Source organism: Homo sapiens, chromosome 9 (genome assembly GCF_000001405.40).
Source record: "Homo sapiens chromosome 9, GRCh38.p14 Primary Assembly".
NCBI classification, from domain to species: Eukaryota; Metazoa; Chordata; class Mammalia; order Primates; family Hominidae; genus Homo; species Homo sapiens.
Window position 1 is genome coordinate 557,111 of NC_000009.12, and position 26,429 is coordinate 583,539.

A 26,429-nucleotide genomic window follows, 5' to 3' on the forward strand; every position below is an offset into this window, starting at 1 on the left:
AGGTTGAGCCTGCAGTGAGATGAAATTGCGCCAGTGCACTTCAGCCTGTGTGACAGAGCAAGACCATGTCTCAAAAGGAAAAAAAAAAAAAAAAAAAATTTATTCATTAGTTATAAATGCACACTGATGTTCTTATAAGTGAAAAGATATATTGTTTTGGTTTTGCTTTAAGATTCCAGCAAATATAAAACAGAAAAAGAGGGAATATATTAAAAAGGCTGGCAAAATATGTATCATTGTTGAAGCTTAGTGATGGGTGCATTGTATTCAATATAGTATTCTCTTTTGTGTATATTTGAAGTTTTTCATGATAGAAGGTTTAAAAATTTAGAACAAAAATGAATGTGGAGGTTCAGGATCCTACCAGATGTTTCTAAATGAACTTTAAGTGACAATGGGGAAAAATGTCCATATCATCCTGGAGTTTAAGGCAGGGAATTCTTGGTAGGGGGCTATTGAAAAATAGCCAAACTGTTAGTCAAAAATGTACATATGATCTCATGGCCACAGATAGTAATGTAGAAGACAGATCACGAAAGTACTAATCCTTGGGTGAGGAAGAACAGGAGAAGGCAGCCCAAGAACTTAACTGAGGCCCCAAGAACTAAGGAAATCTGTTTTGTAAAAGGACCTGTACGGCCAGGTGTGGTGGCTGACACCTGTAATCCCAGCACTTTGGGAGGCTGAGGTGGGAGGACTGTGTGAGCCCAGAAGTTTGAGGCCAGCCTGGGCTGGTTTAATTAAATTAGCTGGGCATGGTGGCACACGCCTGTGGTCTCAGCGACTTGGGCGGCTGAGGTAGAAGGATTGTTTGAGCCTGGGTGGTTGAGGCTACAGTGAGCTATGATCGCGCCACTGCATTCCATCCTGGGTGACAGAGCAAGACTCTCTCAAAAAACAAACAAACAAACCTATACGAACAATGGTAGGAATGTCAAGGAACCCAGGAGTGAAGATCGGATTAGTCAGATGCTGTGAGAGGAGGTGGAAAAAACCAGTGTAGAATGGGCAGGCACCTTTGAAAAGGCTAGAGGAAAATTTTGGAAGGGCATTAAGGAGGAGCATAGCAAAGAAGTCTAGACCTATGACTTGGAGCTGTTCTGTTATATAAATAGGATATCCAGAGATAGCAAACTGCTCACTGCAGGAAATAGGGGAAATAGAGGATAATTTGGAAGAACACCCCACTGTTATTATTTGTGGCAGTTATGTTCTATAAAGTCGCTGTGGACATAATTAGTGAATACTGAGCCATTGCTCCTAGGGGAACAATACAGAGTTAGATTCCTGTGAGCCTCTGGTTATAACGATTTTGTCAGCTGTCAACCGATCAATACATAGCCTTGTTTTGCATGTGTTTCTGTTTAAAGATACCTTGTTTAATATACATTGTTGATTCATTAACATTGACCTCATGGCGAAGAGCACTGTATCTCATGCCTAAATGAAGCTTAGCCAATGCGTCTCTTCTTCCTAAGGCACATCATGGCCTTGTTGTGATTAAGAACATTAGACGACACTAAGGCATGATGTTTGGGGCTCATTTTAAACAGCAAAATCACCAAGAAACCCACAAAAATGAAAAAAAAAAGCCCTAAAAACTAGCCACAAAAGGGACATTTGTTAATAGTATAAGGGCTAGAACAAAGAGTGTAGGCTGGTTTTTTGGCTTCAGCTGGGTACATGTATGTGGAGTGACTCAAATATTTTGGTGTGTACTTGCTTCAGTGGCACATATACTAAAATTGGAATGATACGGAGAAGATTAGTATGGCCCCTGTGCAAGGATGACACAAATTCGTGAAGCGTTCCTTAATAAAAAAAGAAAAAAAAATTTTGGTTCTCTCCACCTGTGCGCAAATGACCATGAGCATTAGTCTTGGGGTTATAAATAAGTTTTAGTAGATGAATTTGCAAATGTGGAATCCGTGAATAATAAGGATGTACTGTATTTTTTCATCTTTATTTCTTAATTAACAACTGTGATCTGTATTTTAAATGAGCCTTTTTGGGGGAGCTTGATAGGCATTGAGTGTTTTTCCCAAAGATTTGTCACCTTCTTGTGAGTTGTCTAGTCTGTTCTTTTGGTTTTATAGATTTATTCTAAACTAAAAGTTAATGGTAGTTGCCATTTATAATTTCTTGCAGAGGTTTTTGCAGAGATCATCCATTTAATATTTTTGTGCATTGAAGGTTTTAATTGTACAGTCAACACTGTCATTCACTTGTGATTTTCATTTTTTCCAAGCTTAGAAAACTTGAAGGATGATGACTTTTTTATTGGAGAGGTTAAAAAAAAAAAGTAGGTAAAAGTGATGGATGCTTAGGCTGAGGGTGGTGACTGAATATGTGGTACTTGAAATTGAGTTTGAGTGTCCAGGCCTGGTTTCATTATATCTTGGGACACTTAAAAAAGTCTTGCAGAGGCAATCTGCTTGAAAATGCTGTATAAACCTTAAACCTCTAAATTGTAAAATGTAAGTGCATAATAATTTCTGATTTGTAGACTTCTGTTGACAATCTTTCAAGACGGGAGAAGGGTGAAAAAGACGGAAAAGACAAACAGATATTTTTCAGAAATGAAAAACATGTACATTTTCTGACATAGGGAATGAGAGATTTTTCTAAATGTGACCCAGAAGGCTTTCAGGTGATTTCCTAACAAGATTTGAGTTTTCTCGGATTAAATATGGTTGTGGCTCTCTACCATGTGCCCCAGTCTTATCTTTGTTATGCCCCTTCACACATACTCTGTTCTTCACATACTCTTCCTTCTGCTGGCTAGTGCTTCCCTGTTTCTGGAACTTTCTTAAGCATTTTTACCATGTATTATAGTTATTTGTATTGTAGTTACGTGTCATCCTTCTTCGTCTTAGAAGAGAAGTTTCCATCTGACTCCATGTTTTCTATTGTAGACCCTAGTTCAGTGCCTTTTAAACAGCAGATATGGAATAATCCTCTAATGGAATAAATGGGGAGAAGAAGGGATAGTTTGTGGTTACCTGGGAAAGCAGTGTGGTTAAGTCAGCATGGGTTTCTCAAGAACAAGCCTTTCTTGAATTAACCTCATTTCCTGTATAAATCAGATACTTATTGGAGAGAGAATTTGGGTAATGTTGTTGTTAGAGGATATCAGAATAAAAAAACTACATGTTTCATTAAGTTCTTAGGATTTTTTATGGATAAGTTGGAAAAGCATGGGCTTGATTGTAATAAGATAGATGAATGTGTTGCAGGTTGATTAACTGTTGACTTTGTGCAATTCACTGCCTTGCCAGTGCTATTCTAACTTTTCCATCAGGGAACTATTAAGGAAGAGGAAAGTTTATACTTTATTTTGGAGGGTTTAGAGGGTTGAGGGTACAGGAATTGAAGGTTGGATTGTGGGCAGGATGTAGGGAGACTTTAGAGGCACAGCCAGGAGCGAAATGTCTTTGAAGACTCATGTTTTCACATAAAGATGCATTCACTTTGTATTTTTAACATGCCCATGTTTGTTTTAAAATACTTTAAATTATCACCAGATAAAATGTTTGAGTAGCCCTTTCCCAATGTCATGATATTCTAGTTTGAGAAGAGTGGTCTTTGATCAAGAAAGGTGGATCAAATTTGTGTCTATCCCATTGTTGGGAGGGAAGCTAACCAACTGGATGTCAGACATCAGGATAGAAAAAAAAAAAGGCTGCAAAAAGTTGAAGGCAATCAACATGAACAAATACACAATTAAGCTCTACTGAATGCAGCTTCCTAGAGTCGGGGGAAAGTTGCATGTTTATAGAATGGGAGACCTGGATCAGTAGCAGCTCTTGTTAAAAAGATTGAAGGTTTCAGCCAACCATTTGATATGGGTGGCCTTCTCTGGCAGCTTTAATGGCACAGTACTCAGAATTAAGGAGATAATCATCCCGTTGTTTTCTGACTTCGTTAGGCTACCTCCGAGGGCTTGTTTTCAAACAAGTTCTACATTTTAAGAGGGTAAGCCAGGGAAATAAATGGACTAGAAACTATGCCCTACCAGGAATAGTTGAAAGGCTATCGGGGTGGAAAGGAGAGCAAAGTTAATTCTCAACTTCAGGGGGGCAGGATTGGAATTTATGGGTAGACATAAGAAGGATATGTTTTTCTATTTCAATCAATTAAGAATTTTTGCTTTGTAAACACACATAAAATGGATATCATATACTATTTAGTAATCACTTTTTTCACTTGATAGAGCATGTATATCTTATGTAACTATTTGATATGTTCATATGATTTTTAATGGCTACATAGCATCTCTCTGTATGAGTGCACTCTTATTTATTAAAACCATCCCTGACAGTTACTTTGGTCATTTCCAATTTCTTAGTATAAACAACAACTCTACAATGAAGATATCTCAAATACACTCATCACTGTGCATTTGTTGAGTTGTTTCCTTAGGACAAATTCTTAGCAGCAGGACAGCTGAGTCAGCATTGGTACTATTTACTTATGGCTTTTGAATACTTATTGCCAAACTGCTTCTTACCAGTAATAGGAACCGCATGTGTTAAAGAAGTCAGATTACCCCAAATTAGAGATGTTGTCATAGGATTTTGGCAGTGGGTTGAATGTTGGACAGTGATCTAAGGCTCCTTAAAAAATGCATGAAAGTTTTAGTGTAGGACCAGATGACTGTTTCATCTAGAACTTTCACATTTCAGTCTTACTATGTAAGTCACACTGTTAAAGAAAACTGTCAAGAGTCTGTAACAGAGAAAATACTGCAGACGTTTTCTGTATTCAGAAAGCACTGTAGAAATTGACCAAGGAAGAGAGGCTCATGGCAGGCAACAACGCAATGCTGTTAGGTTGCATGTATGATAGAAATAGTAAAGGAATCTTTCAGCAGATTAACCATTTTATAACTTAGGTAAGTTGGGGTTTTCCAAGTAAGTAAATTGCATTTTCTTTTTTTTTTTTTTTTTTTTTGAGACGGAGTCTCGCTCTGTCGCCCAGGCCGGACTGCGGACTGCAGTGGCGCAATCTCGGCTCACTGCAAGCTCCGCTTCCCGGGTTCACGCCATTCTCCTGCCTCAGCCTCCCGAATAGCTGGGACTACAGGCGCCCGCCACCGCGCCCGGCTAATTTTTTGTATTTTTAGTAGAGACGGGGTTTCACCTTGTTAGCCAGGATGGTCTCGATCTCCTGACCTCATGATCCACCCGCCTCGGCCTCCCAAAGTGCTGGGATTACAGGCGTGAGCCACCGCGCCCGGCCCAAGTAAATTGCATTTTCTACACCCTGCCAGAGCTGGGTAACAACTGCTTCTGGGGAAGATGGGAACGGACAAAAAGCTGCTCTAGATCATGTTCCCAGTAAAGAGCTCAAAGTGATTTTGCACGTGTTTTATCCTCATGACCTAAAGCTCAGCTGCAGTGAGATGGTGTAGTGCACTGAGATTATCAGCAAAGGGGATTCCAGCTTCACTGCTTGAGTAAGCCACTGGGCCTCTCTGAGCTGTAGTTTCTTAACCTGCATAGGAGATGAATTACCAATACAAGTCAGAGAGTTACAGTGAGGATTTCCTGAGATGATATATTGGATAGTACTTTCTAACCTGTAAAATGCTTTACAAATATTAGTTGTCAAGTTAGACAACCGATGCTAGTGGAGATTTCCAATTTAAAGCTTTCTAATGGATGAAAGAGCTAGTGAACTTCATCACGGCAGAAGTTGGGTCTGATTTTGCTTGATTTTGCCTTGATGTTTGGCTCATAGTTGCAATTCACTAAATATTTGTTGAATGAAAAAAATGAAATTAGCATTTCATTGTTTTATTAACACATTAGAGAGGCACCCATGAAAATGTGTGCTTCTCATCTTTGTGGAGTAAGTACTGCTATTCATTCTTACAAGCAGGGAAGCAGATCCATCAATTCTCAAATCACTCTCACAGCCAGATTCTGCATTTTTCAGGTGATTTCTAATTACATGAAAGAGATTAGATCAAGTACTCTTTTTTGGTTATTTAAGAGGAAAGATGGAACCAAGCCTGTGTTCTGTAGCTCTATTGTGTAAAATCACTTCGAGCAAATGAATGAAATATTTTGTCAGACTTTTTTTTTTTTTTTACTTACTGACCCTTAATAGAAAATAATTTTATGTGTAGCCCTCCCCAGAGTCTCTGTTGCCAGGAAGCTAATGTTGCTATCCCTAATACGGCAACTTTGTCTATTTTTCTGTTCTTTGTGCATTGTGTTTGGTCTTAAACTGTGAATATTCCATTAACTGAGAACTCTGAACAGCCATTGTGTAACTGGAGTGATAGTCTGTGTCAGTTCAATGCATTGTACTTGAGAATAAACATGCTGTTTTATTTGTGGTGGGACTTCTCTCATTGCCACTAGTAATATGTTGTTAACTGAAAATATAAGGCTATTAATAAGCCTCATAAGTACTTTGCATTGTTGAAACAATCCTTCAGTGTAGGATCACATGATTTTGTAGATATGTATGTGTGTGTCTATATTTTCAAATAGGCAGTAGACCCATTCGTTTCTTATCCTTGGGTGTGAGGTCAGAAGTGTCAGTGAAATTGAGTCCAGAATTGTAGTTATGCGTGCTTTCCTAGGGAGAGGTTTCTCTTCTTTTTAATCAGAATCTCAAAATTGCTCTATGGTTCAGAAATGTTTAGGGACCACTGACGCAGCAAATTCAGTTCAGCCCGGATAGTTTATTTGATCTGTGGTGACTGTGTCACTAGAAAGTGATATAAAATACCTAGACTAGCACAGGGCACACATAGGTTCTACACAAATATTTGTTGGAAACCCAATAAAAATCACTGGTGCTTTTTTTCTTTCTTCCCTGTAACACATTATGGCCTGTGAACCTCTAGAAGACAGGATCTTTGTCTTACTTAGTCTTTGGCAGCTGTGTTAACTTCTCGCGTCTGTCTCCTAGTGTCATAGAATGTGCACTTTCTTTCTTTTTTTTTTTTTTTGAGACAGAGTCTTGCTCTGTCGCCCAGGCTGGAGTGCGGTGGCGCAATCTCGGCTCACTGCAAGCTCCGCCTCCCGGGTTCACGCCATTCTCCTGCCTCAGCCTCCTCAGTAGCTGGGATTACAGACGCCCGCCACCACGCCCGGCTAATTTTTTTGTGTTTTTTAGTAGAGACGGGGTTTCACTGTGTTAGCCAGGATGGTCTTGACCTCCTGACCTCATGACTCCGCCCGCCTCAGCCTCCCAAAGTGCTGGGATTACAGGAGGGAGCCACCGTGCCCGGCCAGAATGCACTTTCTGTAGCAAAGTAGAAGTTGTAAAACTTTTTCTCACCAGACACCCTTATACATACAAAACAATCTGAACATGTGTCCTCAACGTAGACACCTAGTTATAAATTATATACGTGTACATATCTCTATTGAGGATATATGTTCAGATTGTTTTATGCTAATATGAAACATACATAGTTGCAATGTTGAGAGATGAAAAGTAATGTTTTAGCATGTATTGATAACCATGATGGCTTTATATTAATATTAAAAGCTATACCTATTTCTGCCCATGCCTACTTTTGGTGTTCTCATAATCTGAGCATGCGCTCAGCTCTGGCTCTTTGCAGCCGCTCTTCCACCTCCTAACACTCTTTCAGGAGATGCCCTTACTGTTAACTGCTTATTCTCTGTGCTTCTTAATTCATATTCTTGAGAGTCAGCATCTAATTGACTCAGTTCACCTTATCATTCCAGGTCAACTCATGTGAGTCTCATTGACATACAGTGTTGTTTTTGGCTTCTCTTGGGAAGCCCACTCTGGTCCACACAGGTGACTGCATGAAGTGGGAAATGAAGACACTTGGCACAGACATGGCTGTTCAGGTAACAAAGAGTGTGTGCAGGGCGGCTTCACTGAGAAGGAGCCTGGTGAGGCTGGAATGGTGACTGCTTTCACCATTAGACAAATGTCAGTGGGTAGAGAAGAGAGACCAAAGTGTGACTTTAGAAACAGAAAAATCCCCTTTTCTTCCTTTGCAAATCCATACCTATATATTTTGAAGACCACTAGGCATGTCAGGTAAACTTTCAGCAATTTAAATTAATCAGAGAGCTGGAGAACATCTATTCCTGTTAAGATCTTTCCCACCCATTCAACTCCCTGACTAGTTACTGCTAAAGAGAAAAATGGTAGCAGCTTCATCTTTAAGACTTAAGCCATAGTTCTTGCAATGGGAAAGTCAACCCTAAAGAATGGTTTCATGTTTGCTCCCATTCTACCTTGTGCAGACAGTAGTTTAAGGATGTCTTCTGCAGAGCATAACTTGTGTAGTCACCCAAAAGGGTCTTCCAGTTCACTGAGACCATGGTATTGCAGTAAAGAAAGAGTTTAATTGACGAAGAGGTGGCTAGCCGCATGGGAGATGGAGTTATCACTCAAATTAATCTCCCTGAAGTTTTGGGGGTTGAGGTTTTTCAAGGATAGTTCGGTGGACAGGGGACTATAGAATGGATGTTGCTGATTGGCTGGGGATGCCATCATAGGAGTGTGGAAAACAGCCCTCATTTGCTGAGTCTGCCTCTGGGTTAGGGGCCATAGGACCAGTTGAGTCATGAGTCGCAGGTCCAGGTGGAGTCAGCCAGTCGTCAAAAATGCAGCAGTCTGAAAAGACATCTCAAAAGGCCAATCTTAGGTTCCGCAAGAGTGATGCTATTTACCACAGTAATTGGGGAAGTTACAAATCTTGTGACTTCCAGAACAATGGCTGGTTATCATTTATACCTACGCTTTTAACAAAACTTTTATTTTAGGTTCAGGGGTGCATGTGCAGGTTTGTTAATATGGGTAAACTCGTGTCATGGGGGTTTGTTGTACAGATTGTTTCATCACCCAGGTGTTAAGTTAATAATACATAGTTATTTTTCTTCACCCTCTGCTTCCTCCCCAACCTCCACCCTCCATTAGGCTGCAGTGTCTGTTGTTGTCCTCTATGTGCCCATGTGTTCTCATCATTTAGCTCCCATTTATAAGTGACAACGTGTAGTATTTGGTTTTCTGTTCCTGCGTTAGTTTGCTGTGGGTGATGGCTTCCAGCTATCCATGCAAAGGACATGATCTTATTCTTTTTTATGGCTGCATAGTATTTCATGGTGTATATGTTCCACATTTTCTTTATCCACTGTACCACTGATGGGCGTTTAGGTTGATTCCATGTCTTTGCTATTGTGAATAGTGCTGCAGTGAGCATATGTGTGCATGCATCTTTATGATAGAATGATTTATATTTCTTTTGGTGTACACCCAGTAATGGGATTTCTGGGTGGAATGGGAGTTATATTTTTAGAACTTTGAAGACTCATCACATTGTCTTCCACAGTGGTTGAACTAATTTATACTTCCACCAATACTGTGTAAATGTTCCTTTTTCTCTGCAACCTCGCCAGCACCTGTTATGTTTTGATTTCTTGATAATAGCCATTCTGACAGGTGCGAGATGGTATCTCCTTGTGGTTGTTATTTGCGTTTCTCTAATGATCGGTAATGTTGAGCTTTTTTTCCACATACTTGTTGGCCGCATGTGTGTCTTCTTTTGAAAGGTGTCTGTTCATGCCTTTGCCTACTTTTTAATGGAGTTGTTTTTTTCTTATAAATTTAAGTTCCGTGTAGGTGCTGGATATTAGACTTTTGTCAGATGGATAGTTTGCCAAAATTTTCTCCCATTCTGTAGGTTGTCTGTTTACTTTGTTGATAGTTTCTTTTGCTGTGCAGAAGCCTTTTAGTTTAATTAGATCCCATTTGTCAATTTTTGCTTTTGTTGGAATTCCTTTTGACATTCTCGTCACGAAATCTTTGCCCATTCCTATGTCCGGAATGGTATTGCTTAGGTTATCATCCAGGTTTTTGAGTATTACATTTAAGTTTTTAATCCTTCTTGAGTTGATTTTTGTATATGATGTAAGGAAGGGGTCCAGTTTCAATTTTCTGCACATGGCTAGCCAGTTATCACAGCACCATTTATTCAACAGGGAGTCCTTTCCCCATTGCTTGTTTTTGTCAGGTTTGTCAAAGATCAGATAGTTGTAGGTATGCGGCCTTATTTCTGGGTTCTCTCGTCTGTTCCCTTGGTCTGTGTGTCTGGTTTTGTACCAGTGCCATGCTGTTTTGGTTATTGTAGCCCAGTAGTGTAGTTTGAAGTTGGGTAGTGTAATGCCTCCAGCTTTGTTCTTTTTGCTTAGGATTGCCTTCTATGCCTACATCTTAGCAGAATTCAGGCCCTTCTCATAACCCTAACCTTGTGGTGTTTCATTAGCTTTACAAAGTTGATTTAGTTTTGGAAAGTGCTATTCTCATTCTTGCTTTAAAGTTAAACTATAAACTAAATTTTCCCCGAAGTTAGCTTTGCCCATGCCCAGGAATGACGAAGGACAACTTGGAGGTTAGAAGCAAGGGTCAGATATCTCTTACTGTCACAGTTTTGCAAAAGCAGTTTCACTTCCCTCTTCTAAGTACCTTCTGCATTGATTGGAGCCAGCAAAGAGAACTTTTGCAGCATTTCTTAGTTTGAATGTGCCATATAAATGAAACATGTTTGGAAATGTGAAACCAAGTCATCCATGAGAATGTTTTCCTCTGAAAGGCAGCACTTCTTGATAAGTCCCTTCCTCATGGAACTTTGGTGCAGTGTTGGCCCATTTTAAAATTTATTGGTTACCCAGGGAGATGCCCGAGCTTATCAGAATTAGAGTCTCTCATTTGAGTACGTTCTTGCAGTATAGAAGTTTGCAGATGTTTTATAACTTTAAGAGGCCCAGTGGTATTGAATTTAGAGTTAATTTTTAAAACTGGCTCCAAAGTCACCAGCATGGACAAAACTTACAGTCTTCCAAAGAGAGAGTGCCAAAGTTCAACGCTTGGCATTGTTGGTTTTTTTTTTTCTTTGTGCCCATATCAGGTAGCTATGATTATCTTCATTTTACAGAGAAGAAAACAAAGCTCAAGAGTTAATTTGACTAAATTCACAGATGAGTGAAGTATGAGGTAGAGAGTGATCCTGTGTGAGAATAGTTTACATTTATCTTGATGTGGTTATAACCACTACCTTATCTATAATGCATGTTAAAAATCAACTTCTCAAGATTTTTTACACCAAAGGCAAAAATATTCAAATGTTGATATAGTCCCTTCCATTCATTTTTATATTTTTGTTTAAAATCTTCAACATCATACCCAGTTTTCAACCTAACTTTATAAAGTAAGCATTTCCTTAATCTTCATAAACATGTTTAAGATATGTATCATAATTTAACAAATTATTAAGTTTCTGAAATTTTTACAGTAGTGAGGCAGTGGATGTATTTATGTGTAAGTCTGTGGGGTTTTTTTCCTGTCTCTCCCATAGAGGCAGAGACTTGCTCTGTGACCCAGGCTGGAGTGCAGTGGCATGATCGTCACTCTGTTGCCCAGGTTGGAGTGCAGTGGTGCAGTCATGGCATGCTTTAACCTCAAACTCCTGGGCTCAAGCTATCATCCCGCCTCAGCCTGCTGAATAGCTAGGACTACAGGTGTGCATCACCATGCCTGCCTAATTTTCTAAAATTTTTTTGTAGAGACAAAATCTCAATATGTTGCCCAGGCTGATCTCGAACTCCTGGCCTCCCACCTTAACCTCCCAAAGCACTGGGATTACAGGTGTGAGCCACCATGCCTGGCCAAGGTTGATTTTTTAAAAACATTATTTCCTTAGTATGTGTATGATTAGAAGCAAAATTACAGGTCAGAAGTCACATTTTAAAAGATCATGACCACTTAAAAAACCCTTAATATGTTTTGCCAAATTTATATCTTTTAAAAATGGGATCGATTTCCACACTCATCGGGGTATATTTGAGTATGTAGCTCACTGTAGACAGAGCTCCTGGGGAGGGAGGAATGGCTCTGGTGCTCTTCTACCCACCTGTAGAGGTTCAGCTGGGGACCAGCTCCACTGTGGGGCATTGGGAGGCTGTTAGTGCAGAGGTATCTTCTCAGTATCTGCCTGACACACTACTGTATCCAGCTGCCTGACCCAGTCCTGCCCACCTGCCTTCCTTTCTTCCTGCCTCCCCTCTGTTTTATCAACTTTGTCTCAAAAAACATAGCTTCCTATCTCTATATGTTCGTCTCCTATTTATGGTCCCTCAGTATGTTATAGTGCTTGCTAAGGTTTGAATGTCCCATGTGAATCTCATGTTGAAACTTAACCCCCAATGTGGCAATATTGAGAGGTGGGGCCTTTAAGAGGTGGCTCTGCCCTCATGAATGGATTAATCCATTCATGGATTAATGGATTAATGGGTTATCAGGGGAGTAGGGCTGGTGGCTTTTAAGAAGAGGAAGGGACCTGAGCTAGCACACTCGGCCGCCTCACCATGTGATTCCCTGTGCTGCCTCCAGACTCTGTCAAGTCCCCACCAGCAAGAAGGCCCTCACCAGATGCAGCCCTAGACTTTGGACTTCTCAGCCTTTGTACCTGTAAGAAATAAATACCTTTTCTGTATAAATTACCCAGTTTCAGGTATTCTGTTATAAGCAACAGAAAATTGACTGAGACAATACGTATATTCTAATTGTGTTCACTTTTCTTTCATCTAGACTTACCAGAAGTTTACTTCTCTGGTTGGCTTTTCAAGGAAGCTTTTGAATTTCACTTCTATTTTTTCTATTAATGCATTCATTATTAGTGAAGTATTTTGTAATCATTTTTCAAACAGATTGGGTGTTTTTTTTTTCTCATTTCAATATGTAGTTCACTTATGTTAATTATTTAGGGCTTACATTTTTCTCTGTTCTCAACCTTCATCAGATTCCGTAACACTTGATACGTTGTAAGGTTTCTGTTTTCATTCATTATACACCTTCCCCACCCCAGGCCTTTTCATTACTTTCAACACAGTCTCGTATTAGGATTTATGTTTTTTAAAACAATTATTTAGGAGAATAGAATAGTTTTTTTCTCCTTGTATTGGGTTTTTTGTTTGTTTAGATGTCTGTTGTTTCTGTGATGGCTTTGTTTTAATCTGTGCTTGGAGAGTGCTCTCTCATTGCTACTTTGGAGAATGTATTATTCTTTGGCCTAGTATGATTGTGTGTGTACATTTGGGGACAAAATGTTTTTGTGGAGATAATGTAGACTTAAAATTTTAAATCCGTAGCTGTATTTTCGTCACAATGAAAATTTGATGTCCTTAGTAAGCCCCGAATAGAAAGCCTTGACTTGCTTTTTGAGCATAGTTAACAGTGTTGAGATAAGAGAGGTTTGCTGGCAGTTGCACTGATGGCTGCACTGTTGTCCAGTGGGCCCAGCTGGGTGTACAGCTCGCCGTATAAACAGAAATCTAGACACAGGTCCCTAGAAGCCTAATCTGTGACCTAGACCCTGTCTCTGAGGTACTCTTACCAGAAAGTTAATCTGTTAGAGGATCTTTCATCAGCATAAAAGGCAGAAATAATTTTCTAAATGCTGTTGATAAAATGTGAGTGCATGCTGCTTCATTCGATTATGGAAACTGAGCATTGGAGACTTATTCTCCTTTTTAACACCACTTGCCTCCAGTAACTTACACTAATTGTCATCTATACCAAGCCTTTGAAAATTTGTAGTTTTTGTAAGTTTTTAGGAAATATGCATGCTAATTAGATAATGCCTAAATTATGTTGCTTTTCATGTGAATTTAGTAAAGTCATTTAAGACCCGTTGGCTTAGTTTTTCATGAGACTTTCTAAACATGCTTAATCTCTGCATACTATTTTAATAATAATGTAAGTTTTTGACTTTTTGCTATTATAATGGGCAGTGAATATATTTGTGCTGAAATCTGTGTGGAATTTTTTTGAACATCATTTTCTTACTGTATATTATTAGAGGTGAAATGTTTGGGTCAGGAGTTACAAACATATATATTTTTAAAAAACTACTCTAAAGATCCTTGATACATTTTGTCAAATTGATTTCTTGTAAAAATGGGACCAGTTTGCACCTCTGTTGTGGTATGAGAGAGTGCCCATCTCCTTGGGGACCTAGCCCCTTGATGGTTCCAGCACTCCATCGAAAACCAGCTCCACTGTGGGGTGTTTTGTGTGACATGGTGGTGTCATATGTCTTCTCTGCAAGAAAAGGCATTGTTAGCAAGGCAAACAGAAATACTCGATACAGTTATGTATAAACCAGAGGAAGCCTTTGCCAGAGAGATTGTTGACAATTGCTAGAGGGTATGATAATGCAGAAGTTACAGAGTGTTCCTTTGGCAACACGTGTTAATGGATTTGTTCCAGTGTTGGAGCCCTTTTTAATGAAAATTCTCAACACCTACACTGGAAAAATAATAAAATAAAAAGCCTTAGTCAGGAATGTATTGCTTGTTAAGATTTAGCCAAGGAAGTCACATGTTATTTAACAAGGTAGATTACTTTTTTCTTTGTAGTAGGCAAGGAAACAGCTATGCTTCACTTCTAAATAAAAAAAAAAAAAATTTTAAAAACGTTTTTTAAAAAGAAAAACGTGACTAAGATAACTGTCTCATTCCCAGGCACTTTTTAATCTCATATAAATTTACATTTAGAGACTTAACAGTTTGGCTTTTTTGAATGAATGCCAGAAATACAGTTGGACTATAGAGTCTCAGCTGAGAAGCAGACACATGGAGCAAGGTATGTTCTGTCATTTATCAGAAAAGTTAAAGAATTCATTTTGTTTAAAAGGCAGCACATAGATTATTCAGAGAGAGAAAAATATGGGTTTATAGGAAAATTCTTATGTATTTGGTAAGGACTCTGAGTTTGTACTTTAGCTTCATGTCTCATAAATCAAGTCCCAAGTTCACCAGGTGATAGTATTCCCAGGTTACTTGTGGGTGTAGGTGCAGAACAACTCGGAACTTTGTGGTTGGGCATCTTTTTCTGCCGTCCAACTTTGGAGGTTGCTGGGAGGAGATGCTTATTTTCCTTTTTTAGGGCATTTCAGTTTAAAACAAATTAAAAATGGAAAGTCAATGTTTTCCCTCCACTAATACAACTCTTAACTTATGGTTGTAATAAACAGTGATTTTTTTTTTTTTTTTTTTTCTAAGAGACAGGGTCTTGCTCTTTTCCCAGGCTTGAGTGCAGTGGAGAAATTGTAGTTCACTACAGCCTTAAACTCCTGGGCTCAAGGCATCCTCCTGCCTCAGCCTCTTGAACAGCTAGGACTACTTGCTTGTGCTGCCATACCCAGCTATTTCGGATCATGAGGTCAAGAGATCGAGACCATCCTGGCTAACACAGTGAAACCCCGTCTCTACTAAAAAATAGAAAAAAATTAGCTGGGCGTGGTAGTGGGTTCCTGTAGTCCCAGCTACTCGGGAAGCTGAGACAGGAGACTGGCGTGAACCTGGGAGGTGGAGCTTGCAGTGAGCCGAGATCGCTCCACTGCACTCCAGCATGAGTGACAGAGCGAGACTCCATCTCAAAAAAAAAAAATTTTTTTTGTAGAGACAGGGTCTCGATATGTTGCCCAGGCTGGTCTTGAATTCCTGGCCTCAGGCAATCCTCCTGCCATGGCCTCCCAAAGCACTGGGATTACAATATGGACATAAGCCACCATGTCCAGCCCTACTTTTGCTTTTTTGAAGGACATGTGTGTTAAGCAGAAATTTCTAAAGTCAGTGCATTTTTTGCATCAGAACATGTTTTAACTCATGAGTTAAAACATCGCTGTTTCTGGCATAACGGTCTTCCCACATTTCCATCTTTATATTAAAAATTTCTGAAATAAAATTTCTTTTTGGGCTAGAAAAAGGTAAGATTGGATCAAGTGATCCATTTAGGACTTGCCTTTTCATACTTTGCAGTCTCATTACTATTATCACAATGTATGTCCTAATACAATAAAGTTGAGGTTTAACCAAAAGTTCTCTTTTCTTCTGGCATGCTTTGTGAGAAAATATTTGAGCTGGTGTAAATTGTAATTACTGGCAGATATGGAAGAGAGTCTGACTTGGAGTATTCATGATGCTGATATGCTGCTGCAGTCAGTCAAGTGCTGCGTGAGTTGATGTCATTACCAAAGGACAGTCTCTATAATCAGAGAATAAAGTATAATTTGTAAATGTGGAGGAGCTAGAGGAACAACTTGATTTCACTTGTCACTAAACTTATCTAATAAATAAAAATGAGGATTTATTATTATTATTATTATTTTTTTGAGACAGAGTCTCGCTCTGTCACCCAGGCTGGAGTGCAGTGGCGCAATCTTGGCTCACTGCAAGCTCCACCTCCTGGGTTCACGCCATTCTCTTGCCTCAGCTTCCCGAGTAGCTGGGACTACAGGTGCCCGCCACCACGCGTGGCTAATTTTTTTGTATTTTTAGTAGAAATAGGGTTTCACCGTGTTAGCCAGGATGGTCTCGATCTCTTGACCTCGTGATCCGCCCTCCTCGGCCTCCCAAAGTGCTGGGATTACAGGCATGAGCCACCGCGCCCGGTCAAGGATTTTTTTTTTAAAGCCAGAAGTAATATAAGTCGGTATCAGTGAGAAAAGGTGGTGAGGATAGCAGGGATTAAGTAAGTCGCGGGCATTTTATTTTTATCTTAAAGAAAATGTTAAAATGGTTGACGTTTTCTAGCTCAACACTCCCACCCCCACCTCACCCATTGATTGATGGTTTGCTTTCGAAATCCTGAGTGAAAAGACAGGAATTACTTCATTGTGCTGAGAGTGACTGATGTCAGAAGGTCAGTTTTCCTACATTTACAAGATTCATACACACTTCTGAAAGGTTTTCTGTTAGACTGGGTGGACTGTAGATGAACAGGGCACTTTTTGTTTTGTAATTGCATTTAGCTTTAATTAGAGGTTTAGAGTAGAAAGCTGAGAGTTGCTTGGAGGAGCCAACCAGGAGATTAATGGGCTGTGCCCATCCGCCGCAGCTCTGTGCTTCCAAGAAGTTTGCCAGGGTAACCTGGATTTGTCTTTATTGTACTGGAAGGAGTCTTGTCCTGTAGAAGTAGAAATCACTGATGCATCACTAACATCATGTGGCCTTTGTTCTCTGCCGCACATGTTTGAAAAGCGCAGCTCGCACCCACTCTTCCCTTAGGAAAGGGGGCCGAAGCTCTGTACCTGTAACATTCCATAAAGGCTAAGGATCATGAGGATGTTGAGTGGGCAGGGCCCCAGCGGTCTTTACTGAAATACCAGAGCCTGCACTCTGATAATGAATGAGGCTCGAGGGAACATTCCTTTGGCATATTTTAATGCTTGACCTAGTTGACTGGGGTGCTCTGGGAAAATGAGCCTCACTTCCTGCTTTTCCACCTTAAATTGAAGTATGGGGTGCTCTGGGAAAATGAGCCTCACTTCCTGCTTTTCCACCTTAAATTGAAGTATGTCATTTATATGATTGTTAATATTGAAATGAGCAGCTGTACCACTCTGTTCTCAACAGGGAGGAAGCCTTTTTATTTGTAATGTTTGAAAATATTCTTTCTCAGCCGCGCGTGGTGGCTTATGCCTGTAATCCCAGCACTTTGGGAGGCTGAGGCGGGTGGATCCTGAGGTGAGGAGTTCAAGACCAGCCCGGCCAACACAATGAAACCCCATCTCTACTAAAAATACAAAAATTAGCCAGGCATGGTGGCACGTGCCTGTGGTCCCAGCTACTTGGGAGGTTGAGGCAGGAGAATCGCTGACCCTGCGAGGTGGGAGGTTGCAGTGAGCCGAGATTGCACCACTGCACTCCAACTTAGGTGACAGAGTGAGACTCCGTCTCAAAAAAAAAAAAAAAAGAAAAAAAATATTTTTTCTTTTTTTAAGTGTATATATTTTTTAAGTTGAAACCTGTGTTTGCCTTGTCTTTATGCCCACAGGGGAACTTGAAGTCATTTTACATATCAAAAGCATCTTCTCAGGTTATTCTGAATTTTGAGAAGGCTAACATTTGCTAGGCTTTATGTTTAAAAAAACAAAAACAGAAAAAGATCCTGGGCTTCTCCCATCTTGCTTGGCAAATGAGGAGTCTAGGGTACTTGTCTTAAATGTTCTGACATATTTCAATTAAAGCAGTGAACAATATTCTCAAAGACAAGGCAGCAGCTGATACTTGGTAATGTCCTTAAAACTGCATAGTAATAACCTTCAGTGAGATTTGTATAATTTGGAGATAAGCTCCACTTATATCTGTAAAGTTAAAGCACAGAGAAAGTTAGTACAGTATTTGCCTGAGGTCAGTCACGCAGTTGGTGACAAAAGCCACTATTCTTAGTACTTCATGAGACTTCTGTTTTATATAATAGATTACAGAGGCCAGGCACAGTGGCTCTTGCCTGTAATTCCAGCACTTTGGGAGACTGAGCTGGGAGGATCATTTGAGCCCAGGAGTTTGAGACCAGCTTGGGCAACATAGCAAGACCCTGTCTCTACAGGGAAAAAAAAAAAAAAAAAGCCAGGAATGGTGATGCACACCTGTGTTCCAGCTGCTCAGGAGACTGAGGTGGGAGGATTGCTTGAGCCTGGGAGGTTGAGGCTGCAGTTAGCCATGATCATGTCACTGCACTCCAGCCTGGGCAACAGAGCAAGACCCTGTCTCAAAAAAAATTAATTACAGAGATAGTGTTCTAGTTAATAGCAAGGAAAGAATGGCTTAAGCAATAAGCTTGGCCGGGCACAGTGGCTCATGCCTGTAATCCCAGCACTTTGGGAGGCCAAGGCGGGCCCGATCACTTGAGGTCAGGAGTTCAAGACCAGCCTGGTCAACATGGTGAAATCCTGTCTCTATTAAAAATACAAAAATTAGTCAGATGTAGTGGTGTATGCCTATAATCCCAGCCACTTGAGAGGCTGAGGCAGGAAGATCGCTTGAACCCAGTATGTGGAGGTTACAGTGAGCTGAGATTGTGCCACTGGACTCCAGCGTAGGCAACAGAGTGCAACTGCATCTCAAAACAAAAAACAATAAGTTTAATGAATGATTCCCAAAGTATGGTCTATGGACCAGCATCATTCACATCATCTGGGAACTTATTAGAAATTTTAAATTTTTAGGCCCTATCAGACCTACTGCTTACTCTGAAGGTGGGAGTCTAGGAATCTGTGTTTTTACAAAGCCCTCCACATACTTCTGATTCATGATAAAGTTTCAGTACCACTAGCTTCATACCATCCTTTTATAATTTTATGAGTTTAAATGCTCAGGGCTGCTGAGATAACATACCCTTGGGTCCTGAGTGTATACAAGGTAAGAAGCAGCTGGCAGCCTCCTTGAAGGCCCAGCATAGACAACCTTACTGGCCTCCCTTTTAATATACAGATAGGTAAGAAAGCAGAAGAGGAACCAATATTTGCTCTGCTAGGCACTGTGCCTATCTTTCCCACAGTTCCCTTGCATTTAGCCCTCATGCCAATCATATGCTTGTCATAGTGTGCTCCTTATATGTTTTGGGTACTTCATCATTTTCTAGTTGTAATCTCAGTCTTGAGAGCAGGCTCAGACGTTTGCTTCGATTCTTTCACTGGCAATCACGGAGACTTGACATTGTTTCATTTAGGGGACTGTACATTTCCTCATGGGGCATGCAGTTTGTGTTGGAGATACAGAAAGCTTCATCTTGAACTTGGTGCTTCTTCCTGGAACAGTAATTTTATTTCAGGTTTGTGGGAGAGGAAGAGGAGGGACCTTGTTTTTTTTTTGCAAACCATGACATTCCCTGTACGTACCATGTACCTGGTGCATGATAAATAACTGTTAAATAGATTTCTATACTATTAACAGAAAGCTTGTATTGTGTCCGGAATTGGTTCCTTCAGGTGGTTTCTTGGTCTCACTGACTTCAAGAATGAAGCCATAGACCCTCACGGTGAGTGTTACAGTTCTTAAAGATGGTGTGTCCGGAGTTTGTTCCTTCAGATGTTCAGATGAGTCCTTAGTTTCTTCCTTCCAGTGGGTTCATGGCCTCGCTGACTTGAGGAGTGAATCTGCAGACCTTTGCAGTGTTACAGGTCATGAAGGTAGTGCAGACCCAAAGACTGAGCAGCAGCAAGATTTATTGTGAAGAGCGAAAGAACAAAGCTTCCACAGCATGGAAGGGAACCCAAGCGGGTTGCCTCTGCTGGCTCTGGTGGCCAGATTTTATTCCCTTATTTGGCCCCGCCCACGTCCTGCTGATTGGTCCATTTTACAGAGTGCTGATTGGCCCATTTTACAGAGAGCTGATTGATCCATTTTACAGAGTGCTGATTGGTGTGTTATTACAGAGTGCTGATTGGTGCATTTACAAACCTTTAGCTAGACACAGAGTGCTGACTGGTGTGTTTACAAACCTTTAGACACAGAGCGCTGATTGGTGCGTTTTTACAGAGTGCTGATTGGCGCGCTTACAAACCTTTAGCTAGACACAGAGTGCTAATTGGTGTGTTTACAATCCTTTAACTAGACAGAAAAGTTCTCCAAGTCCGCACCCGACCCAGAAGCTCAGCCGGCTTCACCTCTCAGTATCATCTCCCAGATAGCTTGTGCCCACCCTTCAGACTTCTTTGTTTAAGGCAGTTATTCTCAAAATGTCCCTTGACCAGAAACAGCATCACTTGGAAACTTGGTAGAAGTACACATTCTCAAGTTCCACCCCAAACCTCTTGAATCAGAAATTCTGAGGGTAGGGCCCAGGAATTTATGTTTCAACAAGTCTTGCAGGTGATTTTGATTTATGCTAGCATTTGAGAACCACTGGCTTTACGCATGAGAAGTAGGATTTTAAAATTGTACTTTTTATTATAATTTTCTGGGAAAGTAAAGCTGTTTCACCTGTAAACTTTGGGAATAGGAGCACCCTGAAGCTCACAATGGCATCCTGCAAAGCCCCAAAGAGTGCTAGTTGTTGATCATTACCTGTGCACACATCATTCCCTCACTCAGAGCCCAGCTAGGAGGCCTCCTTTCACCTTGTAACCAGGTCACCCCTAGATGTGATCACTTCCTCCACAAGAACTGAGAGAGAAGAGAAGAACACCAGAGGATACTGAACTGGCCATACTGGGGCTTATGGTTTAAAGGGCAGAACTGAGCCAAATGAGGACTCCTCAGAAAATTGCTTTCTCGTTGGATCACCCCAGAAATAAATCAGTAAAAGCATTCACCTTTTGTTTTATTTGCTTCAAACAAAGTAGGAAACATTCTTCTTGCTTTATATATCTAGATACCAAGTAAGGAAGTATGATTTGGATTCTTGAGTCTCTTTATTTTATTTTTCAACTGTGTGTGTGTGTGTGTGTGTGTTTGCCTTTGCTAAGCCATGGAGGGTAAAAAATGAAATATATTAGCAACATTGTTGACATGGACCACAGACAATTAAATGTTTCATTTCTTATTAATCCTGAAAGAAAAAGCCTTTTTTTTTTGTTGGGCGGCAGGGAGGGGGTGCAGTCCTCTATACAAAAATCTTAAAAACTAAATATATCTATTCTAATTGTTTTCCCCTGGAACATCATCATAGTTTAGGAGTATATCTCAATGTTGATTTTAAAAAATAAATATGTAAACAGCTAGATTTATGCACTGTTAAAGCATCAGTGCAAGTTTTAGGAAAAAATCAAGCATGACAATTGAAAATAAAATAACCATTACTAAGTTGGACTCTTCTTTACCCTCAAGAAATTGTACTTGGATGTTTATGGGAGAAATTATTCCAAATCCTACCAGTTCTGTCAGAAAACTAATATTACTCTACATAATCATTTTCTCCCACCTCTGTATAATATTTAACTTTTATTTGAAATGTAGGCTCAAGCTATGCTAAAAATCCCATCTCGAAGATGACGAGCTTATCCATGGGGAGGGGATGGAGGGCAGAGCACTCTCATAACTCTAGGAATTTGACTGTTATATCTTGACTTAATAAATGTCTGCAGCTGAAAATAGGAAAAATTGACTATATGCATGTTTGAACACATAGACATAAAAAATGCCAGCTGAAGCAGAGTATTCCGCATGCAAGCCAAGAAAAATCGGGTTCAGTGAGGCACAGTTTGGCAGGGAAGGCACACTGAAGCTGCAGGGATGGGAGGTCTAGTAACTGGGGAGGTATTCAGTTGAGGGCTGGTGCCCTCCACGTAGCCTTCCCCGACCCACCCACCCTGGGTCTGCTTCCCTCTGCCCCCAGTGTGGGCTCCCGTAGCACAGCTGGGTATTAGCTTGGTAATGGGGAAAGGATGGTATTCAACTGGGAATCTTTGGCTTCTAGGAACAAAACAAACTTGGGGAGGATGTTATCAGGATACTGAAGTCCTCCCCAAAATCCAGGATCTTCAGAGAAAACCTAAGAATCAAAAATAGAAAAGCACAGGAAGTTGAAGGACTCTGTCTCTGTGTGTTGTCCCTGCTTCTCTCAGCTCCATCCTCACCTTTCTGCACTCCAGCTCTGTTGTGTCGTCCACAGCATGCAACACACAGATCCAGCTCCATCTGGAGCCCGCCTGTCAGCTCCTCAGCCCCAATTTTAAAACCCTAGGGGAGAAGCATCTTCTCAGCATAGGTCTCACATCTTTATGTGGTCCAGTGAGCCATGGTGGGGGAGGTAGGTGGGTGCAGGGAGGCAGTATGGGAGGTCCACCTCTGACCCTGTGGCCCAGTCAGAAGACCCCAAAGAGAGGAGTAGCTTGCATAGATGGAACAAAAGCATTCTCCCTATGTTATTCCGTTCACATGTTGCTGTGGGTTCATTAACCCCACACTTAGAAAGTAATCATCTTTGGCTCTAAGAAAATCTGGAGGTTGGACCTGAAAAACCTCAGGCCAGACAGTGAATCAGTCCTGGATTGTGCTGAATTTTCTAATATGACTCCACCCCATGAGGCTTCATGACTGTCAGCATCTGCTGTCTCCAGTGATGCTGTGTCCGAAATTGGTGGGTTCTTGGTCTCACAGACTTCAAGAATGAAGCCACAGACCCTTGCGGTGAGTGTTACAGTTCTTAAAGATGGTGTGTCCGAAGTTTGTTCCTTCTGATGTTCGTACGTGTTCAGAGTTTCTTCATTCTGGTAGGTTCGTGGTCTCACTGGCTTCAGGAGTGAAGCTGCAGACCTTCGCGGTGAGTGTAACAGCTCTTAAGGCGGCGCGTCTGGAGTTGTTCGTTCCTCCGGTCTGGAGTTGTTCATTCCTCCCGGTGGGTTCGTGGTCTCGCTGGCCTCAGGAGTGAAGCTGCAGACCTTCCTGGTGTTACAGCTCATAAAGGCAGCGCGGACCCGAAGAGTGAGCAGCAGCAAGATTTATTGCAAAGAGTGAAAGAACAAAGCTTCCACACTGTGGGAGGGGACCTGAGCAGGTTGCCACTGCTGGCTCAGGCATCTGCTTTTATTCTCTTATCTGGCCCCACCCACATCCTGTTGATTGGTCAATTTTACAGAGAGCTGATTGGTCCATTTTGACAGGGTGCTGATTGGTGCATTTACAATCCCTGAGCTAGACGCAAAAGTTCTCCAAGTCCCCACTAGATCAGCTAGACACAGAGCACTGACTGGTGCATTTGCAAACCTTGAGCTAGACACAGAGTGCTGATTGGTGTATTTACAATCCCTTAGCTAGACATAAAGGTTCTCCAAGTGCCCACTAGACTCAGGAGTCCAGCTGGCTTCACCTAGTGGATCCCGCACTGGGGCCGCAGGCGGAGCTGCCTGCCAGTCCCGCGCTGTGCGCCCGCACTCCTGAGCCCTTGGGTAGTCAATGGGATTGGGCGCCGCGGAGCAGGGGGCGGTGCTCGTTGGGGAGGCTTGGGCTGCGCTGGAGCCCACGGCATCTGGGGGAGGCTCCGGCATGGTGGGCTGCAGGTCCCGAGCCTTGCCCCACGGGGAGGCAGCTGAGGCCTGGTGAGAATTGGAGCGCAGCGCTGGCAGGCTGACACTGCTAGGGAACCCAGCGCACCCTCCGCAGCTGCTGGCTGGAGTGCTAAGCCCCTCACTGCCCAGGGGCCGGCCGCTCCAAGTGTGGGGCCCGCCGAGCCCACACCTACCCAGAACTCCTGGCCTACCCAGAACTCCTGGCCCGCGAGCGTTGTGTGCAGCCCCAGTTCCCACCCACGGCTTTCCCTCCACATCTCCCCGCAAGCAGAGGGAGCCGGCTCCGGCCTCGGCCAGCCCAGAGAGGGGCTCCCACAGTGCAGCGGCGGGCTGAAGGGCTCCTCAAGCACGGCCAGAGGGGGCGCCGAGAGCAGGCAAGGGCTGACAGCACGTTGTCACCTCTCAATGCCTATCTTAAACAGACCCTTTACATGGCATTGGTGGCAAGTGAGACTGGAAATTCTTTGTGAAATGCTTGCATGATACAAGAGCCTTCTCGTAAATCTGTTTTAAAAGTGTCCTTTATTCTGAATACCATTTTGATCCGTGATCCACTGATGGAAGTCAATGATGTTGAACTAAGAAAATACATAGGTTACTAGCTATGAACCATTCTTCATTAGTGCACTTGCTTGGTAATGGGTTAATTTGAATTGGGAATGAATCTTAGTCCACAAACTAGAGGTGCAGAGAATATTGCAGTTTGCTAAATAGACTTAATCTTGACTTTAAGCTTCTACTGCTTTCAGGTAGCAGAAAGATTCACCTCGATTATTCTTGGATTTCTTTCCCATATCACCCTCCCAGAGTTGTGCCAAGGTTCCAGGCTTTACTAATGTCATGATGTCAGGAAGGCCTGAGAAGTTATCCGTTTACACCAGTCCCTACTGCTTCTGGGCTGCATTTGAGGCTAGGGAGGGTGCTTTGTCAGCATCCAGCCATCCTCCTGGGGTTGCTGCACACCTCAGGGTGCAGCCAGAGTGCAGGTATGGCCATCTGCCACTCAGAGTTTCACAGTCATTCACTTCCAAGATCTCCCTTAAGTGTGAGAGATCTTGCTATCTTCTCACCTGCTTTTCTCCTCAAGAAGGTAAGCCAGAGCCCTCGACCCTTGTGAATGAGGAAATTTCAGAGAGAAAAACATTGGAACTCCCCCTGCCCCAGAGTTGGTAACTGCTCAAATGCTGGCTGCCGCCAGGTGGTGCAAGAGGCGCTGCTTCTCTGTGGTCACCTAGCAGCAGTCTCCTGTGGCCAGTTCCCCACGTAGAGGTGGCAACTGCCCTTCTTCATGGCTACTTGCTGGAGGTTTGTGGGAGGAGGGGAGTATGGGGGGTGTGTGTGGCTTTACCTGCCCCAAATTGTCAGGAGGATTTGAGGCATTTCTTTGTTGTTGTTGTTGTTTGGCTGTTTCCAAAACCCATTTGGAAACCTGTTATTCCGTAAGAGTAGCCTTCAAATTCTTAAGCATTTTCTATAAATCTTCAGTGAACTAATAAAAGTATTTCCTTTTCCCTTTTCTGGCAATGGGTAGTCTAGTTCTGTTAATATTCCTGCAAAGAAACTCATCTACCAGCCTCACTCACACTGTGCACTTTTGCCCTCAGAATCCTCAGTGGCTAGCCTAATTGACTACAACCAGTTTAGATGATCAGCTACCTTCCTTTTGCCATTATTTCAGATGCTGCCTTGCCCATAGCACAACCAATGCATTTAAAAAATAAAAACATTTGGGGTGGGAGAACTATGATTAAATAAAGGAGATCTCTGTAGAGTATGGCAAAGCTTGCACACAACTTTAATAAAAATATGCTGTCTTGAGTAACCAGCATATTACAGAGGCTCTGTGAATGCCTCTTCATCTAGAATTTCAGTACAAGCTGTACATAAAATATTTATACAGCACAGTGTGCTTTGCCCCTCACAAAAGCGTGGGTTCAGATGTACACTGTTACTATAGACGTCACTAACATATAAGCCGGTGAAGAACCTTTAATGTATTTGTAATGTTAGCAAAGTATCTGTCATCAGATTAAACTTGTAGTGACTGATAATGTAGCCTTGGCTCCTAGCCAAAAATATTTTTTTTGATATCAGAATGACACTTAATAGTAAAGATATGTCATAGAGGAAGGGGAAGAAGAGAATTTACTAGAGAAACTTAAAAGACTGGTTGGTGCAGAACCTAGTAACTTGGTTTGTGGCTGGCAGAAATGGGAGTAGTCCCTGGGATTACTTCTAAGGAGGAAATTTTACTACAAACACAGCTGGGAATAATTCTGTTACCAAGTCTTTTTTAGGATCAATACAGAGCTTATTTGTAAAAATTAAAATCTAACTATCACTTTATTGTCTATGGGTATCTGTTACATTTTATCTGTAAAAGAGGAATGGAAATGCCTGCCTAGTAGGTTCATCATAAGGACTGAGAGGATACGGGACCTTATTAAGTCCTCAGTAAGTAGCAGCAATTTTGCTTTTGTTTTTATGATGATTACTTCCACTCATGACTTTACCTGCATGTTCTTTAATCTTCAAAATAGATTAGTGAAGTAGTGATGTTTCCATTTTAGAAATAAAATACGCTGGGGAAACGAATTGTAATACACATGACAAAGCTTAATATTAGTATCCT

At 41.5% G+C, this 26,429-nt stretch overlaps 1 protein-coding gene and 1 pseudogene across 39 annotated transcripts in view, besides 2 other annotated features; both read left to right on the forward strand.

Moving 5' to 3' along the window:
* KANK1 (KN motif and ankyrin repeat domains 1) overlaps window positions 1-26,429 on the forward strand; it is a 275,809-nt gene that overhangs the window by 86,816 nt on the left and 162,564 nt on the right. The window lies entirely within an intron of this gene.
* Window positions 693-1,244: an enhancer, noted in NCBI's record as "NANOG-H3K27ac-H3K4me1 hESC enhancer chr9:557803-558354 (GRCh37/hg19 assembly coordinates)". NCBI's record gives its function as "activates a minimal SCP1, AML or CMV promoter by ChIP-STARR-seq in primed H9 embryonic stem cells {active_cell/tissue: H9 hESC(primed)}" and the evidence as "EXISTENCE:reporter gene assay evidence [ECO:0000049][PMID:30033119]".
* Window positions 1,716-1,820, forward strand: RNU6-1327P (RNA, U6 small nuclear 1327, pseudogene; annotated as a pseudogene).
* Window positions 17,321-18,160: an enhancer, noted in NCBI's record as "NANOG-H3K27ac-H3K4me1 hESC enhancer chr9:574431-575270 (GRCh37/hg19 assembly coordinates)". NCBI's record gives its function as "activates a minimal SCP1, AML or CMV promoter by ChIP-STARR-seq in naive H9 embryonic stem cells {active_cell/tissue: H9 hESC(naive)}" and the evidence as "EXISTENCE:reporter gene assay evidence [ECO:0000049][PMID:30033119]".